Source organism: Homo sapiens, chromosome 1, assembly GCF_000001405.40.
Source record: "Homo sapiens chromosome 1, GRCh38.p14 Primary Assembly".
NCBI lineage: Eukaryota > Metazoa > Chordata > Mammalia > Primates > Hominidae > Homo > Homo sapiens.
In genome coordinates, this window is record NC_000001.11 from 87,390,833 (window position 1) to 87,411,478 (window position 20,646).

The 20,646-nt window shown below is 40.6% G+C and overlaps 1 long non-coding RNA gene across 3 annotated transcripts in view; it reads left to right on the forward strand.

Annotated features, from left to right (window-relative positions):
• Positions 1-362: 362 nt before the first annotated feature.
• LOC105378833 (uncharacterized) overlaps positions 363-20,646 on the forward strand; it is a 39,237-nt gene continuing 18,953 nt past the window's right edge. The window contains exons 1-3 of one of the 3 annotated variants that reach the window (XR_001738133.2): positions 363-3,792; positions 5,318-5,614; positions 7,893-8,215. This is a non-coding gene — a long non-coding RNA (uncharacterized LOC105378833). Of the gene's footprint in view, positions 3,793-5,317; positions 5,615-7,892; positions 9,422-20,646 lie in introns of those variants that run through there. The other 2 variants (XR_947562.4, XR_947564.4) reach the window with 2 other exon arrangements.

Here is a 20,646-nt window from a genome sequence, read left to right on the forward strand (position 1 = left end):
TGGGATTACAGGTGTACCACCATGCCCAGCCTATAAACTCTTATTCAAAATCTGAAATACTCCAAAAATCTAAAACTTTTTTTTGTTTTTTGAGATCGAGTTTTGCTTTGTTGCCCAGGCAGAGTGCAGTGGCACAGTCACGGCTCACTGCAGCCTGGATTTCCTGGGCTCAAGCCACCTCCACACCTCAGCCTTCCAAGTAGCAGAGACTACATGTGCACGCCAAAAATGTCTGACTAATTTTTATTTTAGTTGAGTTTTTGTGGAGATGGGGGTTTCAGTATATTGCCCAAACTGATCTCAAACTCCTGGGCTCGGGCTATCTTTCTGCTTCTGCCTCACAAAGTTCTGGGATTACAGGCATTAGACAGTGTACCCAGCCCCAAATTTGAAATTTTTGAGCACTGACATGACACCACATGTGGAAAACCCTACACCCGGGTTTAGGTGGTGGATTGTAGTCAAAATGCAAGTGCACAACACGCAGTTTATTCAGTAACCCCAAGAGAAAAATAAAGTTATCTTCAGGCTATGTGCAGAAGATGTGTATGAAACATAAATGAATTTCATGTTTAGATTTGGGTCCCATCCCCAAAATAGATCATTATGTATATGCAGATATTCCAAAATTTGAAAAAATTTGAGATCTGAAATACTTCTAGTCCCACACATTTCAGATAAGGGATACTCAACTTGTGTATACACAATATATAGACAGTCCCCAAATTATGGTGGTTCAGTTCACAATTTTTTGCCTTTACAGTGGGTTTATTGAGACAGCAAATGCATTTTAGACCCACAATGAGTTGTATTGGGAAGTAGTCCCATCATAAGTCTAGGATCATCTGTATATATGTTTTATTGTATTAAACAGCCCATTTTAGTATGTTGGCTATTTAAGCATTTCAGTCTGTCCTGGTGATGATAGCAGAGTAGATTGTAATCAAAGAAAACTGTTTGCCAGCAGGCAGATGCAGATCAGAATAAAGGTGAGGTTGGGTGCTTGTCGGAAAGACCGTCTCAGCCAGAAATCAGAATGAACTACATTTTTCAGGGTCGTGTTCCACATATTAAGGATATGCAAATTAGCTTCTCCATCAATTAACACAACCACAGAAGTCCAAAGAGGCAAAATCTGGAGCAGCAGGTGAGCAAGAAGAGGCACGGCTTGGAGCAAACCAGGGGGTACCTAGAAGATGGCTTGTGGTCATCACAGTGATGAGCAAGAGATGTAAGCCAGAAATATTCACCAGCTGGTTAGTTTAGCCTTAAAGGCTACTGACTGTGGGCCAGGCTAGACAGAAACAATCTGGGTTAATCTACTCAATTTAAATCCAGGCAGCGGGGAAAATGGATACTTTCATATGTCTCTGTACCCAACTATAAACTTTTGGTTCTCATGCACCATTTTCATTTTGCCTTCTCACTCCAAGTACCACTGATTTTACCAATTACTCTCATAATTGACTTTGCTACTGGAAGAAACTCTTAGAATGTTGGAATTTCTCTATTACACACTTTGCCTCAAAGAATGTGTCAGTCAGGACTAAAGCAATAGTCTCAGGGCAGACAGCCAACCTACATCTGATGACAACATTGCAGTACAGTAGTCACAATATGCTGACTTCTGAGCAAGCCCGTGGCACTACCCTGGAAGGATGGCCCCAGAGAAGCTGGGATATGCAAGCTACCCGCCTCATAGTTCGGAGACCATTGAGTGGAAAGTGCTTCCCCTTTGTTCTTTCTGTTTATTCACAAGTGGGTGAAATGGATTTCTGAGTCTCCTAGCCTAAAGCAAGTTTTGGCTTGATGACTTTTATGGGCATTTATGTTTACTTTGTAAAAGTGTAAGAAACAATAAGTTATAGTAATATGGGGGAGTGGGAGGTTAGTAGTTGTTTAAATCTTTTTAAAAAGAATGCATTTGCAAGAGATTAATGTTTATGAGTGGCTAGGACATTCAGAGAGCATAAAGTGCTTTTAGGGTGTGTTGAGATGGGGAGTTTTCAAATGAGCCCAGAGTTTCTGAATTCCTTGAAGCCATTCTGATAATTTCTTTGAAAGAAAACTTGCCCCTGTAAACATGTTTGCTGTGTGTCTGTTCCATCGTTGCAGGGCTGGTTCTAACGCTACATCAGGAAATGGAATTCTTGGGCACAGTAATAATAGAGAAGTGAGTCATTGGATTAGAAGGTCACCTATCCAGACGAATCAGTGGGAAATTAGTTCTATGGTCTGTTTGGTTTGGTAATAAAAGGAAGTATATTTCTCCAATCGATAAAGTTCCTAGTTCTTTAAAAATTTCTCTCAAATCCTTGGTAGGACATACTTAAGACTACAAACTTGTCATTTTCTAGCTGGGGAAGATGGTTCCTTAAAAAGGATCCTGTTTGTCACCACCCTGTGGGCACTTTTTTGAATTCTTCATTTGAAGGGCCTTGGAAACCATTTCATCATGCCTCACCATATGAATATATAATGTTTCCTAAGTACTGAATAGTTTTCCTTCATTCTGGGTCCAAGGGGTGGCAGTTGAAGACAGGCTGGGAACTGCTACCAATCATCACAGTGGCCTGGTTTCAGAAGGGCTCTATGTTCATCTCCCCTCGTTTTTCTTCTCTTACCTCTGTTGGGAGATCATCTGCAGAAATCCTTCTGTGCCCTTCAGTAGACTTGGCATCAAGGAAGACTGAGGTTTTCCAGCTCTCCAGTGGCAAAGACCTGGGGCTGTCACTGGGGAGGCTGCACCTGGGCTGGACCCGTTTGTACTGATGGCACTGGGTCCTGCACTATCTGTGCAGCCCTAAAAATAGCTCTCAATTAACATTGCATTTCAAGAATTGGAAAATTTCCCAGAAGTCCATTCTTTCTTCCTTTTCTATTTCATTACATTTTGCAGTAATAATACACAAGCCTCCAGAAAACATGACGGGTAATGAAAAAATGTAATTAATATAAGCAGCGTAAAGCATGTTTTTTTTTCTCTGTTGTCCTTGCAGAAAATTGCTGCTTTAAACCAAGCAGGATATGAAAATGCATAAACCCCCCCTAATCTGCTGTGGTTTGTAAATATCTTATGCAAAACAGTTAAGTCAACTGTCAGATTTTTTTTTTTTAACATTAAGCCACATATTCTTGTAAAATTTGTTTCCCCTGCAGGACAAGTGGAGTGATTTAGATAAGTATTTGTGAGGGGGAAGAAATGGCAGTGATGGTAAGGTTTTTCAACAATAAACCTAAAAGCAGAAAGAACCTCCTTTTTGAATTGCTGGTCTGTCCATTGGTTTCATCTGAATGGCATTGTGTGCTGCCTCTAGGTACACTCAATTTTGGTATAGTACTTGCGAAAAGTAAATGTCCTTGCTACAATTTCACACCAGTACACCTTATCCCATTCATTGAAATAAAGTGATTAAGACGCCAAGAGGCTGTGGTATAGTCAACATGCTGGAGACCATTTTGGTTGACTTATCTGTACCACTAGTAATTATCTATAGGTGTTTGACTAAGAAGCCACAATAGAATTTCAAAACTGAAATACAGAGCATTATTCTGAAAACATCTTCCAAGGCCAGTGCTTACGGTTTGTTCGCATTTGTTCTTTTCTTTGTCCTTTAACAGCAACAACAACAAAAACTACAGTTAATATAACTTATGGGTCATTGTTAATTTCTATCTTGTCCTGAGTTCTAAAGGTTTCCTACGGCCTGGATGTGCGTGAACTTTCAGATTTCGCTCTCTGTGGAAACTCCTGGCCTTGTCACCACTGTGCCACTAGGCTCCCTCGTGAAGGTAGGGTTCCCCCAGCTGAAAAGCAGCGCCTCTCTCCTGTGGCCTTCTGAGCTGCCGTTTGGAGTCCCAGATGTAAGAAATGAAATAATCCACGCTCAGACAGTCACAAAGTGCCCATCTGGCACCCAGAATGCTTGTGAGATAGAAGCACACAGGCGTGAGCTCACTTTTGCTGTGGCATTTCATAAACAGAGCTGCAGCCTGCTAAAGAAAGACGTTGGGATGATAATAATCACTTTCCACTCCCCTCCCTTTTGTGCCTGCTCCCTTCAAAACACACACACACACACACACACACACACACACACACACACACAGCCTTAGCTTTTTTAAAACATAGGGGCTAGGGAGAAAAAAATAGAGAGCCATCCTCAAAAAGGTAACATTTTTTTTCAGAGGGTCTGAAGGAGAAATTTCCATTAACAGCTAAATCCCTCCCCACCACCTCTCCAGCCTGTGTTACTGTTTTTATGCCCTCCATCCTAGGATGCACAGGCAATGATGTGAAATGTGACCAGTCAACTATTAGCTAACTCACTCCTTGTACATCACCCTAAAAATCAGGAAAAGCAGCAGTGGGAGGGATTACATAAATCACGCACTGCTGCATTGCTTTCTAGTCCTGAAACCAGATTCACAGGAGAGCCTAATAAAGGACCTCAACACTTCTTCTTTAGCTTCCTTTTGTGTATTTGAGCCAAAGTAGGAGTAACAGAAGCCCAACCAAGGGGGTGTTGTTCAGAGAACACCTCGGGATGAGTGTGTTCATGTGTGAATGCAGAAGGGTGACCGTCCCTACAAATGCTTGCAACTGACATTCAACCCCAAGTTATAATTAAGGAGCAAGGCAGATGTGTAAACTAAGCCTGCTGGGGCAGGGTGTAATTGTTATATCAGATCCCCATTACTCTATGGCTCTAACTCTATTATTATTATTATTATTATTTATTTATTTTTTTAGACGGAGTTTTTGCTCTTGTTGCCCAGGCTGGAGTGCAATGGCGCGATCTCGGCTCACCACAACCTCCACCTCCCGGGTTCAAGCAATTCTCCTGCCTCGGCCTCCCAAGTAGCTGGGATTACAGGCATGTGCCACCACACTTGGCTAATTTTTTCTATTTTTAGTAGAGACAGGGTTTCACCATGTTGGTCAGGTTGGTGTCGAACTTCCGACCAGGTGACCCACCCATCTCGGCCTCCCAAAGTGCTGGGATTACAGGCGTGAGCCACCGCACCCGGCCAACTCTATTATTTTTAAAAAACACAGATTTCTAAAACATGTAGTACCCAACGACAAGAGTGAGACCCCTAAAGTAACAGATGACTATGGACACTGTGAAGAAGTCGAGCAACAAGCATGGGGCTTCAATGAAAGACTGGTAAAGTCATGTTCTGATTTGTATTATCATAGCATTAAAATGAGGAATAAAATCACCTTAGACATTTCACTTGATGTTGTTCTGAACTATAATAAAAAAAAATCAGGTTGCATTATCCTTCCCAAATATCACATCCGCTCTCTCAGCAGGTCTAGCCTTGCAAGGAGATATTTTCAAAGTAACCAGAGTTTTCGGCCCCAGAGCAGAGAATGATCACCATAACACAGGCAGCGTCCATCCCTAGCCCCTGCTGACCAAATGGCATGCAGGAGAAATGAGGTGGCTGGAAGATGTCTCCGTGGAATAGAGGTTCCTAGACTCATGAACCTTAGGGAGGAAGAAACAAATGGCTCTCTCCTTGGGGAACTTTCTCACTCTTCTCCGGCACCGCTCCTGCCTTTCCAGAGAATGGGGTCTGCTTGTTTGCAAATCCAGAGTACCAAGTGGGTAGCACAATGCGATGTTTGTAAATATGATAAACCATTACAATATTATAGCTTTTCATTTGGAAAGCCATTTAGGCAAGAAATGATTACTGACCCATGATATGTAAATGATGGAAATGCAGAAATTAGTATTTGGGTCAACTCATGTATTTTTCAACCATGAAATGAAAATCTCAGTGCTCACATTCCAATTCATACATGAAAGCATCACGGTGCTATTAGTTGACTATTGTGTTAATTTATTATTGTCTTAGTTAATGTTTTCAGAGCCACCCTGAAGTTATACCTCTACTTTCAATGCACTAATATCATGGCGAAAAGAGGGGCACATGTTCCTCTGGGTCAGCGGGTCTCCTGAGGGAATTCTATGTTAGCTGAGGGGAAATAAAGTGATTTTGAAGGAAGGTGAGGGAATCTCCACCCCAAATATTTCAAATATGGGATCAGTCTTACCCACCCACCGCCTTTTTTGAGTTCATAAAAACTACAAGAATGTGTTGGACACTCATATTACTGTGACAAGTTCCTAGGTGCTCTTGTGAACACAAACGAATCCAAAAGAGACCTTAGTATTCAAGGTTAAAGCAAAAGAGACTCAATATGAAAATGGCACAAAAACTCAAAGGGAGAGCATTTAGGAAGGCTTCCTGGAGGAGGCCATATTTAAGCTGTTTCTGAAGGGCTGTTAAGACTTGAATAGGCAAAAGGATGGCAAAAAGTCATCCTAGGTGGAAAGCAAGAGAAAAGATTCCAAAAATGGAGTGGATGCCATGCGAACAGATATCTCACCTTACAGAAACAGAACATGGGTGCAGCAGAGCAAAGAGTACAGGAGTGCCTTCAGAAATGTCAGGTTGCAACTGAACTTACATGCCATACATCTTGGAGACCCCTCAGAGTTCCTTCCCAGAGAGAACCAGAATAAGCGTGATGGAAAAAGTCTGGCCTACTTACACCATGTAGACATGCAGCCATCCTGGGGCTGAGAGAGACCGAGGTGGGAAGGCAAGTGGAGAGGGAGAAAGAGGAATCCAAAGACTGGGGAAAGAGAGTCTGGAGTAGGGGTGTTTTAAGGGATGGAATGGAAAGGGTGAGTTTGAGAGACAGGAAATGAAATGTAAGAGATGAATCTGAATGCTGCATGCAGAGGGATAGATTTACTGTCAACCCTTAAATTCGATGAGTTTAAAGAGCAAAATGAGTATATGATGCAGAGAGTAAGTGGAGTAAGGAAATGCTGATGGTTTTGCTTTTTAATCTAATTAATTGGCTAGAGGGAAACTTCCATATTTCCACTGTGCTACTAAGACTCCTCTTGTAACCTCAGGGCATAACAGCCTCAAGATTGGGTAGTGCTGAGATCTTTGGCTCATCCAACCTTGACCTTGGGTTATGATCTGGGTTGTGCCAGCACCTTCACAACAGGCACTCACTCAAACCCTTTACTCAGGGTGTCAAGGTCAGAAGAGATGCTCCGCCTTCAATAGGTTCTGAATGTAGGACAGTTTTTAATAGGTAGGTTAGATCAGTAGTTCTCCATGGAGGTGCTCTTGCCCACTACAGGGTGTTTTGGGAATTTCTGACAGCGTTTTTCAGATGCCACAAAACTATGTGGGAGCCAGAGATGCTAGACTTCTGCTATTCTCAGGACAGTCCTACTCAGTGAAGAATTGTAGAATCGTGCAGCATCCCACATAGCTTTTGAATGCACTGCCAGGCTTTCATGTAGGTGAAACTGTTTATAATGATCTATACCTATGACCTAACTCCAGTTGACATATTTTGTTGCCCAATTTTAATACACACTAAAATTTCCATGAATTTACATCTAACTTGTAAGTTAGGGGAATATTCTATTTTGTTTGGTTCAGAACTTTGCCAAGAATTAGACACTGAGAAAATAACATCACTGGCAGCAATGCTACTCTGATATTTGAGTGGCATTTGTGGCTGTGATTTCACAAATAGATACAAGCATTTGACCACTTCATCATGCCTTTCATATGTACATATTTAAATATACACTTTGTTATGAATTAGTTTCCTTTTGTTTCTCTTTTATATTACATTTTGGTCATTATATTGATATTTAAAAAATATACGTGTGGGTAATATGCTATTATAATATATATGTTCAGGATAGTAAAGGGAGGATTATAAATGTTATAAAAAGGAGATGTTGGGTCTGATGGGTGGGAACCACAAAGTTAGAAACACAAGAAACTTAGATATGACCTACTATGAATTGTGACCATCTTTTATCTTATTTTTAAAGCTGGGTCAACCGATGGATCTTTGTGGAACTCCTCTGATAAGCCTACAGTGGTTCAAGCACCGTACAGGCAGACTGAAGACAGAAAGAAGTGTGAGTCACAGAGTCTCTTCCAAATTTCAGACCTGTGGCAGCTTCCCAGAGGCTGGAGTAGACCAGAAGAGAATGACTAAGGCATGATGTTCTGGGAGTTACAGTCCTGGCACGTAATTGTGAATATGGCACAAAATGAGGCGGTGGGTGTCCAGACTGCACCTAACAATGGGAGCCTGAGAGCAAATGGCTGGAAGGTCAGGAAGGCAGGAGACTGTCAGTAGCAAGAGCAGGTGGGTGCACATTATGTAGCCTCGAGCACCAGGCTGGGATGAGAGATGGGACTCCACCCCCTGTGGAGGGGCAAAGTAGAAGCCAAGCCTGGACTCAAATCACCAAGATTGGGGCCCAGAAACAAAGGAAGAAAGCTGAAAGTCAGTACCCAAAACATGGGTAAAGCAGGGACCCTGGGCTCAACCTAGCAGGCAGGAACTCAGAGGGGCTGACGTCCAGGGCAGACCAGCAGCAGACCATGTTGGGTCATGGCCTAGGGGTTAGAGTGGCTTAATATGTTTTGCTGAAAGGACAGATGGATTTCTGTGCCAGGTTTTAAAGAGGAAGCCAGGTGTGGAGTCTGGGAGCCACGCTGGATCTGACACTCAGGCAGTTTGTCATCTAATTGGAAGAACCAAAGTATGAATACATAACAAATGAGTCACCTGAGCTGTTGTTAACTGAACATGGGGCAATATTTCAAGAGTACCTGAAAGCCCTATATTATGCATTGTCTGGCTTGGGCCAAGGAGGGCATGTGACTCTAGGATACAAAAGAGTCCTCTGCGTTGGAGTGGTTTCTGAAGGTTTCATGGAAGGGCAAAGGGTTAAGCTGACCCTTGAAGAGTGGATGAATGGATAACTGAATTAATTCAGTCACTCATTCACTCAAAAAAATACTTAGAAATCCCTGCAGTGAGATAGGTGCCAAGAATAAAGAGGTGAACAATAGGGACACTGACGTTGGCTGCATAGAAATTGCAGGCTCATGTAGGTTTGAGAGAAGCAAACAAGCAAGCAGGGAAGATGCAATTTCAGCCGGGACTGGAGGAAGTACATAAGGCCGGTGAGGCACACCTAGAGCCAGCTTCTAAGGAAGTGTTCTTTCTGCTAACCTGGGCTGCTGCCAGGCCCAGCACTAATTGTGCATACTTTCTACCTGCTTTAAGGCTTGATCCTAAAGAAAACTAAAAATGTTATTAATATAAACTCTTTGAGCTAGGGGGTGGCAAACACTTTCTGTAAAGGCCCGGATATTAAACATTGTAGGCTTTGCAGGTGTGTCATGAAATACTATTCTTGTTTTGATTGTTTTCAAGCATCTAAAAATGTAAAACTCATGTTTAGCTTACAGGCCAGATTTGGCCTGCAGGCTGCAGTTTGCTGACCCTGGTCTAGGTCAATACAGTTACTTTTGTTCATAGACCAACAAGGTGTTCAAGTGCATTGGTGGATAATAATAAGCACTATTTATTATAAGTAACATTTGTAGAACATGAAACATTGTCCAATGTTTTTCATATTTATAAATATATATATTTACATATATCCCACCTGGCTCCTGAAACAATAGAATTGGAGAAGGTAAGCCATATAATGTCTTTATTCCTCATTTCAGAGATAGTTTGAAGCTCAGAAAAGTTCCCTTGTCACATTAAGTTACAGGGCCACAAAAACCACTGGGTCTCAGATCCAGTGATTCCAGAGCATGTCCTTGATCTACAGCTACTTTGAACTGGCCATCCAGCCAAATAGTCGCAACTTTCACAGGACGCTTTAGTTTTGAGTGTGAAATTCGAGGCTTACACTTAAAAAACAAACAAATAGTGGATATGGTCTGAATTATTGTCAGTGCTATTAAGAGAGAAGGATTGAGTAGACTATTCTATATCCAGGCACTGGCCTAAATGCTGGGAACACATCACTAAATTGAATAGACACAATCCCTGCTTTTATTAATAGTTTGCTTTCTAATGAAAATAATTCTAATGATAATGACACAACAGTAGGACAAGTAGCAGCTACTTAAAAGCCATGTATTGTGTTTGGAGTTATAAATGTCTTATCAGTAATCCTCAAAATAGTGCTATAAAGTGGGTCTTATTCTCCTCATTTTACAAATACATTAATAACAACAGCTAACATGTGGAACTTACTCCATACTTGGAAGGAGCTGTGCAGAGGAGATAAGGGAGCAGGCGGGTAGCCAAGGGGGATTTGAACTCAGGTTTATACACCCTAGAGTCTAAGGCCTCCCTACTTGGTGCTGAAGCAAAACCCTAGGCCATGGCCATTTGACTGCATCAACTCACTTCTACTTGTCCATGCCTAGTGGATTTCAATCAGATGTAGTGTTCCTTCATTTTAGTAGTCTGTCATTTATGAGCTAAGGCAGCCAGAGAGCACTTATTCATTAGTGCTTTACACAGTGATGATTGCTGAGATGGCACTTCCGGAGTCATATAATGCTATTTTCTAAAGCTTATAACTCTGAAGTAATTGCCTCATGGATTACAATTTCATCCATGTTCCTTTTGTCATAGGTTTACTGGGGGAAACACTGCCATTGACGTGTCGTTGGCAATTTTGAGGCATAGGCATCGACCTTAAGGTTTCAGGGGACACTGAGTTTAATTTAAAACTGTTAGAAAAGAAAGAAGATGGGAGTGATGTGCTGGTTGAAATTCTTCCCTTCCTTTGCTACGCTCATTCTCTTTTTACTTGCTCTATTCAAAGTGAGGCCACTGACAGACACCTCTCTGTAGGACTGTTAACATTATTATTTAACTTGCATGAATGTAGCAAAATTCAAGGTTCAGAATCAAATGACCTTTCTTTAGCTTCTCAACTTATTGTGGCACAGGTGCACAAAGGAGGTTTTGTAAGCGCCCTTTTTTCTTCAGTCTGGGAAATTACCGAAGCTTACGCATGAAGGGGGACCCTAGCAGCCTTAATTTTAAACTTCCCAAATTTTCTGCGATTAAGACTTTGGCAGAAAATAGATTCTTTTTTGTGTATGTGTTAAAAAGAAATACTGAATAACGTGTAAATGGTTTTTCCTTATAAATACATTTATCCGAAGAACTTCATTATTGCATAAATTACTTCTTCAAAATTAATTTCTATTTTTTTAAAGAGATGAAACCCATGTTTTCAATGTGCCATTAGGAAAGCTCAGTGATCACATATAATAACAATATATTAAAAGCCATACAGAAAAGAACCTATTTTTTAAAACCCATAACTCAACAGACTAGAAAAATGACAGACTAGCCATTCATGCAAATTAGCTAACTCACATTTATCAGAGAAAATATTTCATAGCATTAACAACGCTGTCATTTAAGAAAAATTAAATGGGGCCCAGAACCACACATTTATTTTTACTGCATTCATTATTCATTTGCATGTTTCTTTCCTCCCTTTAAAAAAAAGTATGTAAGTTTTGAATTCAAAGTTCAGTAGAGGAAGAAGCAGATGATTTTCTCATTTTAGTGACCCTGTGGTTAGCAGCAATAAAGCAACAGGAACAAATCTGGCTTGAAATGTGTCCAAACCCACATCTCCCAGTGTGCACAAAAGGCAAAAAAGTAAGATGTGCAGCGGATATTAACATGAGTAATCTTGGAAATCTAAATATTAAACATATGTCAAAGATTATCTAATACACATCCACATGTCTTATAGAGATGTCTTTCATCTGAGGAGCTCCAACCCATTTCAATGTGCGTAGACTATTTTCTAGCCCTGAAGGCCTCATCAAAGCTTGGCATATCCAGCATCTACAGCACAGTTTTTTAGATGGGTCCTTATGAGGTAATAACTCCTCAGCTCCCACATCTTCCTGAAAGACAGTCTTTTTAATTTCTGCCCCCACCCAGAGATGTTATTTTAAGTCCAAGTTGATTAAGTCATTTGCCCAGTAAACTGTGCAATTGGGGAAATTTCCTGTGGTCTTTGACTTGTGTTCTGATGCTGAGGTCACTTGAACCCATGTTTGACTCCGTCTACAGGACTCTTATTCTAGCAGTCCAGAGAATAATGTTCCAGACGAGACACTGAGAAGCTGTATTGTCTTATCTCCTGGGCACCGTGTGAAGGCTGTGACTTAATTCCTCTTCTCCATTAGTAAAATACGCTTATAATACTTGGCATCTTCTTCCCTCTAAACCTTATTCTTTGGAGTAATTGAAGATATATTTTGGAAGTACTTACAGTTCCTCCTAAAAGGGCGTAATATTATAATAGGGAGCCAGCCCCCCCTTTTTTTGTATATTGGCCATTGAATAATATTATTTTATAAAACATCTTAGCGCAATGTGTCCTTAATTTTTCTTAGCCTCAGTTTTGTCATCTGTGAATTGCAAAAGACAAGCTGACTCTCAATATTTCACAATGAGATCATGTATATGGGAAGACTTTGTAAACTCTAAAGCTTTATACAAATGTAGAAAGGCACATGTTGCAGAAAGAGGCCCCAGCCCCAAGTGATAACTGGTGCACTGAAATCCAATTTCATTTCCACATTCGTCCTTCCTTGGCAAATGTCACAGCTTTGTGTAATTTGTAAAGTCTTCATTATTAGCTAACTGTGTTGTCCTGTGCAGACAGGCTGTGAGGCAGAAACCAGATTACAGTACTTACCTTTGTGCTACTGCCCTCTTGGGGAGTCTGGCACGTAGTAGGGGCTCAACAAATGCGTGCTGAATTGAACTGAATTGTGCAGAGGGTGTGAGGACTTGGAGTGAACAAAACAACTGAATGCAAGATCAGCCACTAGCTTGGTTGACCCTCTCCAGGGAGGCGGTGTTCCAGGACACTGCCTTGAGACAGGTCACTTGAGGACTAGGGAAAGGACCCAGCCATTCTCTATAGCAGGGCAGAGTGCTCAGAGCAATTGTGATGGGTGGGTTGTTGCAATCTGTCCCCTTTTCTCTCCTGTCCGCCGAGGGGAGAAGTTGTTCTCCTGGGTAGCTTTCCTTCTGATGCTTTCTCTCACCTTCCCTTCCATCTTTTACCACTTGGAGGAAGGAGAAATGCTGAGCCTTTACTTATTTGTTGCTTATAGGCTTTTTCTTACTCTGAGAAAGCTTAGATTCTTTGGGGAAATAGCATGGATTCCCTAGCTCTCTTCTTTAGGGAATGCACAGGAGCTAGAAAAGGCGATCTCCAGATTATGTCACATGGTGAGGGTAGGGAAGAAAGGAGAAAGGATGGCATTTTGGGGAAATACGTCAGCACACAGTTTTGGGAGGAAGATTTGCTTACTCAATTTGTCTTTAAACCAAAGCATCTGTTTTGGTCATTAAAGTAAAACATCTTGGATGATTAAAAAAAATGCCCTATTCGTTCATTTTGACCTATATATGCTCCTAGACCACATTTTGAGAAATAATCAAGAAAAATGTATCCTCCAATAATTTTACTTGCTTTGTCAATGTGTTCCCAAATAACATGACTTGATTCTTGATTCTCCCTAATCCATTTGATTACCTTCCTTCCTGCCCTCACCACCTTTGAAATAAAAACTACTGTTATCAGCTAAAGAATCTCAGAACACGCTTTTCTGTTACCAGAACAAAGGGTTAAGCTAAAGGTGTGGTTTACTTTCTATCCTCTGAGTCATGGAGCGTATACATATACTCATCATTGTCTTTTCTGTTCCTGGCTACTTATCTTTCTTTCATCTTCATCTTTATCTGTAACCTACATCTCATAAGCTGAGTATGCAAGATTTTCAGTCCCTCAAAGCATCATCTACCCTGGGTAGAGACACAAACAGATCTGGGGCTGCAGCTGTTGCCTGAGTCTTCTCCTTCCGGACTAAGGGAACTGTATTCTGCAAGAAAAGCCTACATGCAAAAATCACATTTTACCTGCTCTTTAATAATTTCCTTTTCATCCTTTTCCCAGCCACTTTCTCAAAAACACATAGAAAGCTTTGCTTTTGGTTCTAAGCTGTAAGGAATCAAAGAAAGAAGAGAGGAATGGCAGAAGATCTAGATCTGGGGTCATTGAGGTAGAGCATTATTCTTTAGCTGATTCAGGTGAGACTATCAAAAATTAGTGAAAGTTGCTGAATGTGATGGCAGCTCAGAAGTCAAACACTTGTACACTTTCCCACCTCTGTTTTAGGGTAAAATATTAGATGAAGACAGAGAATGTGGCTAGAATGAAACTCTAGTGACTTACAAGTGCACATTTTCAGAGAATGGAGTACATTTAAATGAAAGCATTTATAAAACATTTATTCGAATATATCACATTCAACCCTTGACTCATCAAAGCCCTAAAGTCTGTTTATACTGAATAACTCTTTAAAACAAGTCACTTGTCATTTGCATACATCTGAACATATATTTACTGACATTAGCCAAAATAGTAAACTGCAGCCAATTGGAAAGTCAAAATGTTCATTGCAATTTAGTTTATTAAAGAATGTGTTTGGTTCTTTAGAGACACCATATGAAGAATATCATGGCAAGCTAAAGGCATACATATTTTTGCTTGTGGCTTCATTACTGTAATTCAAGTACAGTTGACCCTTGAATAACATGGAGTTGAACTGTGGGAGTCCACTTAAATGTAGATTTTTTTCAATAAAAGTTACACTGAGTGTGATTGCCTCTCCTGCTTCCTCTTCCACTGCCTCTATCTCTTCCACCTCTGCCATCCCTGAGACAGCAAGACTATATTCTCTTCCTCCTGCTCCTCAGCTGACTCAATGTGAAGATGATGAGGATGAAGACCTTTATGATGATCTACTTCCACTTAATGAATAGTGATATTGTTTGTCTCTGTCCTGACCCAAATCCCACCTTTTACTGTAATAATCCCCACATGTCATGGGAGGGACCCAGTGGGAGGTGGTCAAATCATGGAGGCAGGTTTTTCCTGTGCTGTTCTTGTGTTAGTGAATAAATCTCACTAGGTTTGGTGGAGTTCCCCTGCACATGACCTCTCTTGCCTGCTGCCATGTAAGACATCCCTTTGCTCTTCCTTCATCTCCCACCATGATTGTGAGGCCTCCCCAGCCATGTGGAACTGTGAGTCAATTAAACCTCTTTCCTCTGTAAATTACCCAGTCTCGGGTATGTCTTTATTAGCAGCATGAGAACAGATGAATACAAATACTAAATATATTTTCTATTCTTTATTATTTTCTTTTTAACATTTTCTTTTCTCTAGCTTACTTTATTGTAAGAATGCATATATAATACATACAACATACAAAATTGTGTTAATCAACTGTTTATGTTACTGGTAAGGCATCTATCTGGTCAGTGGTAGGCTATTAGTAGTTCAGTTTTTGTTTGGAGTGTTGGAAGTTAAACTCAATTTTAGGCCAGGCACGGTGGCATATGCCTGTAATCCTAGCACTTTGGGAGGCCGAGTTGGGCAGATCACCTGAGGTCAGGAGTTTGAGACCAGCCTGGCCAAAATGGTGAAGCCCTGTCTCTATTAAAAATATAAAAATTAGCCAGGTGTGGTGGTGCATGCCTGTAATCCCAGCTACTTGGGAGGCTGAGTCAGGAGAATTTCTTGAACTTGGGAGGCGGAGGTTGCAGTGAGCCAAGATCGTGCCACTGCACTCCAGCCTGAGTGACAGAGCAAGACTATGTCTCAAAAAAAAAAAAAAATTCATACTCAATTTTCAACTGCATAGGGAGGGGTCAGCACCCCTAATCCTTGCATTGTTCAAAACTGTTATTCAGAACCAACAAGAAGCTATAGTTGGATCAGATCTTTAGAATCTTTGAAGTTGGAAAGAATATTAAAGATTGTCTAGTCCAGTGTTTTTCACATGCTCCTGATGATGCTAATTCCTTGTTCTTATTCCATTCCTGTTGAATTTGAATCTCCAGGGATGGGGACTGGGAAACTGTTTACACAACATGATATTTTTATCATCAGGGCAGTTTTAAATAGATTTTTAAAATTTTTGTTGCAAATAGAGATGCAAATAGAGATGTGGCCTTACTATGTTGCCCAGGCTCATCTTGAACTCCTGGGCTCAAGCGATCCAACTGCCTCAGCCTCCCAAAGGGTTGAGATTACAGGCGTGAGTCACTGATTCTCAGCCTTATGTGTCTTATATATCAGAATTATCTGCAGAGTTGTTAAAAATACAGGAGGCTGGGTAGTGGACATCATGTCCTTAGATTCTAATTCCATCTATGCATCTACATTTTTAACGAGCTCCACAGGCAATGCCAAAGCAAGTTTGGGAATCAGTGATGTACTTTGATTTCTTACACGTGAGTAATCTCTCCCAAAACATTCTGCTTAAACAAGTAACTCAAAAGCCAAGCTATTTCCTCGTTGGGGGGATGCCTAATTTTAGATATTACCTCTGTTTGTTGGGCCAAAGTATGACTTCCTGTAACCTCTACCCTCAAGTCTCAGCTTATCTTCCAGAGCAACAAAATAATTATTTCAAATGTGTAGCTTGCAGATGGTGCTAGTAAATGTCAAATCTGTTCCCCTGTTTCTACATAATTGTCCTCCAAGTACAACAGACCCTATACTTGACCTATTCCTTCACATGTGATTACTCCATAAATTGTCTCTTTTCATACAAAACATCTCCACTTTCAAAAGCACTTTTTATGGTGTCTATATTCATAGAATCCTCATTACCTGACAGCAGACATGCTGCAACATCTGTATTAAAATTAATTTATTCCACAAATGGTACTGAGCACCCACTATATGTCAAACTCTGCTTTAGACACAAGGGTTACCACAAGGACCAGAACTGAACCCAGGATGCCAGATGGGTTCTAGGTGAATCTAGTGGGAATACAGTTCTGACTCCATTGTTCCAGTAATGCAGCCCATGACTACAGTGGCTATTTTGAAAGCCACGTCAAACTGTTAGTTAACTCTGGGTTAGAATTTAACTAACTAAAATTTCAGGACTTCATATAAGTTACTATTATTATTACCATTACTATCATAAGTACTATAGACAATAACTTTTGTCCAATGACATATAGTTTGTAAAGTTGTTTCTACATACCTAATTCTCACAACATCTCTGTGAACTTGTATTATTATTTCCAGGTTATGGATGGTGTTATAGTCAGTTTGGGATGCTATAACAAAGTACCATAGACTGGATGGCTTATAAACAACAGAAATTGATTTCTCACAGTTCTGGACGCTGGAAGTCCCAGATACCAGCATGGATGAGTTCTGGTGAAGGCCCTCTTCCATATTGCAGGCTGCCAACTTCTCATTGTATTCTCCATGGCAGAAAGAGAGTGAGTTAGCTCTCTGGTCTTTTCTCATAAGGACACTAATCCCATTTATGAGGGTTCTAGCCTTATGACCTAATTACCTCCCAAAGGCTCCACCTCCCAATACAATCATATTGGGGATTAGATGTCAACATACACATTTTTGTGGGAGAGACTACACAAATATTCAGCCCATAAAGACAGAGAAACCGAGGCTCAAATAAGTTTAGAGTGATGCTTGAAATTACATACCGATGTCAGCCAAGCTAGGACTTGAACCTAGACCTTTGACTCCAAATCTGAAGCATTTTCTATTGCCTCACAATGCCGTAATAAGCCAGGGATTCCCTGCTTGTACTTCAGCAAGTGGGACAAATTTGGGTGAAACATTACTTTTTCTCATTTAATTATATATGATTAACTTTGACCCTTTATTCTAGCCTCTTGAAATCTTTATAAATTCATGGTTGACCTATTAGTATATTGGCTGTCCTTGTCTTCAATTGGTATCATGTAGTCTCTATGTCCTTATCCAGGTTATTACAAACTTTGAGCAGGACACAGCCAAAGAGAGAACCCATTGGCATATCGCTGCAACCTTTCTCTGGGTTAACATTAACACAATAATGAACACACTGGGGACCATTTTTCAACCAGCTAGGATTTTATATACCTGTGCCATCATTCTGCTCACATGTCCCAATCTTGACATTCAAAGAAATCATGAAAGCCTTAGTCAAGGGTCTGCTGAAGATGCATTATGTCTACAGAATTCTCCTGATCCACCAAAGAGAAAATGGTCACCTTTTAGCTGAGTGGACAATTTTAACTGTCCCACAAATCAAGTTACCTCATCATTCAAAATAAAACAACTCAAGGTGTTCTTTTACGTCTTGGAAAAGCCTTGTGAGTGCAACCATCCTTTAAGATCCAGCTCAGATGTCACCCTCTCTGGGAAGCCTTTTTCGATCCCCTAGGCAGATTTAGCAACACTCATTGCTCTGTCCCAGCATGATACTCATGCTGACCTAGCACTTCCCACATTATCTGCTGTTATTTGCTTCCTTTTCACCCCTAATATTTCAACTTCTGAGGGCAAAAACTGCATTTTATTCACCTTTGAAATCTTCTGCAACATAGTGTAGTGATTGGTGCATATAAGAAATTCACAATAAATATTTGCTGAATGAATGGGTGATTGAATACATATATAAGTGGGAAATAAAGTTCCCTTGTAACGTTTTTACAAGATAAAGAATATTAACAAGAATCACTTTTCAATTTCTTTTGGACTGTGACACTTCTTATTGAGGATATCTAAAAACAATGGACAAAGCCTGATCAAAAAAGTCCAATATGTATCCAACTTTTCATAAAGAAGAAATAATCCTTTGGCCTGCTAGAGTGGTTGTTGTTTTAAGATTAATCTTAACTTATTTGTAGCCCATAAAACAAAACTAATTGCAGAATTCAAAGCTTTAGAGCATTCTTAGGTGGCTTGATGGGAAAGCATTGAAATAAATACAAACGTTTAGATAAAACAACCATTTTAATAGTATTAACTCTGCCAATTAATGATAATGGAAGAGCCGTCCAATTAGCTAAATCGCTAATAGTTTTATCAAGCAGAGGTTGGTAATTTAAAGCAAACAAATTCTTTCTAATTTTATCCACTTGCACACCAAGATATTTAAAGGATAACAGGGGATCCAATAAAGAGTATTGCTCAAGAAGAGCTATATTTAAATCTCCTAATGGCTATAACACAGAGTTACCCCAATTAGTCAGAAAATCCAAGCAGTCAGTAAATTCTTTCAAGCTTTCACAATTTGGGGTAAAAATAAATGAGATACAAGAAAGGTGCTACTTGCAATCATTAGCATTATTACTGAGGTACATTTGGAAGATGGAGAGTGTCCTGAGACAGTCAGGGGTATAAACTTAACTCATCAAATGCAGCAATTGTGAGCACTCTGCACTCATGCTCAGCCTCACACTGGGGCATTTCTGAGCAGTTTTCTTGGAGGTTACCGCTATATACCCCTACTCAGTACAGAAGGTCAGGGAGAAGTTGATTCCACACCAAGTTTGGGACTGGGACTGCGCCTGTCAAACCTCCACAGAGAATCCAGGCACATAATTGGATAATTCAGGAAGATCTTCTTAGGACAAGAATGATGTTAACATTTCTTACAATACCTGTTTTATTATTCTCAAGAGAATAGACTTTCAAAAACATCTGTGTTATCTGAATATGTGAACTTCATCAGTAGGGACATGGTCAGTTAAGGACAAATGGCAAATGATCAACTAAAAAGGGCCTTTGTTGTCCTTCTGCTTGGGTATAAGATAACCTTAAAATTTTCAGAATTAATGATGCTGTTAACCCCACATTAGGGTACTGCCAACCAAGCCACTGTGCTTAGATGGACAAATGTTAAAGAGAAAAGAACACAATGAAGAGCCTTTCCAGAGCATTATCTTTGCCAGTGCTAGCAGGTGGAAAGTATTATTTGACTATCATAACTTTCTTTTATTGAGCTACTTACTAGGAGCCAAGCACTGTGTCAATATCTTCATATTCCTTATTTCATTAAGCTTCCCATCAATAAAGTGAGCATTACCTGTGTTGTATAGATGAGTTTACTGAGGCTTACAGGTTAAGTAGCTTGCCCACAGCTATTAGTCTGGGAGCCAGGATTCAGCCTTAGGGCTCTCTCACTACAAGGACCTTGCTTTACCTGGATTGTGTCCTGCCATCCTGGTTCCGTCATCTGGCATGTTGTCAGTGTTCAGTGTATATTGCAGGAGGATGATGGTCTCCATGTGTTCTAGTGGTACAGAGAACAAATACCCTATGGATAGCCCTGTGGGGTAAATAAAGAATGAACTGGGCCCAGCTGGGCATTTGCATCAAAGTGCCTCACCAGAGTTCCCAGCTGCTCTGGCAGAGTGCCCAGGCTTGCCCCAGAGCCCAAACAGAATGCTCTTTGAGATGCCTCTGGTTTTCATTTTCCAAACCTTGCCACACACAACAAGTGGGCCTGGGGCTGGCCTCAAAGTCCCCACCCTGCCTCACTTCCTTTGGGGGTTGGGGGAAGGGTTGTAGAAAGAAAAAGAATTGGTGACACCAGTATCTTGGTATGAAGAACTAACTTTTCTCTAAACTGTTAAAGGTCTTGTCAAATCCATCCATAGACTCAAATATTAACAAGGATCTTTAGATAAAAGGTTGTCAGTGACATAAACCACATGGAACTTGTGTTTACCACAAAATAAGAGCAAGGGCATATTTCTTATTTTTGTGTGTACCAAGAAATACAATCAAAGACTAATGGAAAGACTTAAACGTAGTTCAGTTTCAGGACTGAGAGCAGGATGGGCTGAGAAAACACTTCCTAACCCAGACGCCCAAGCAGGCAGGCCAG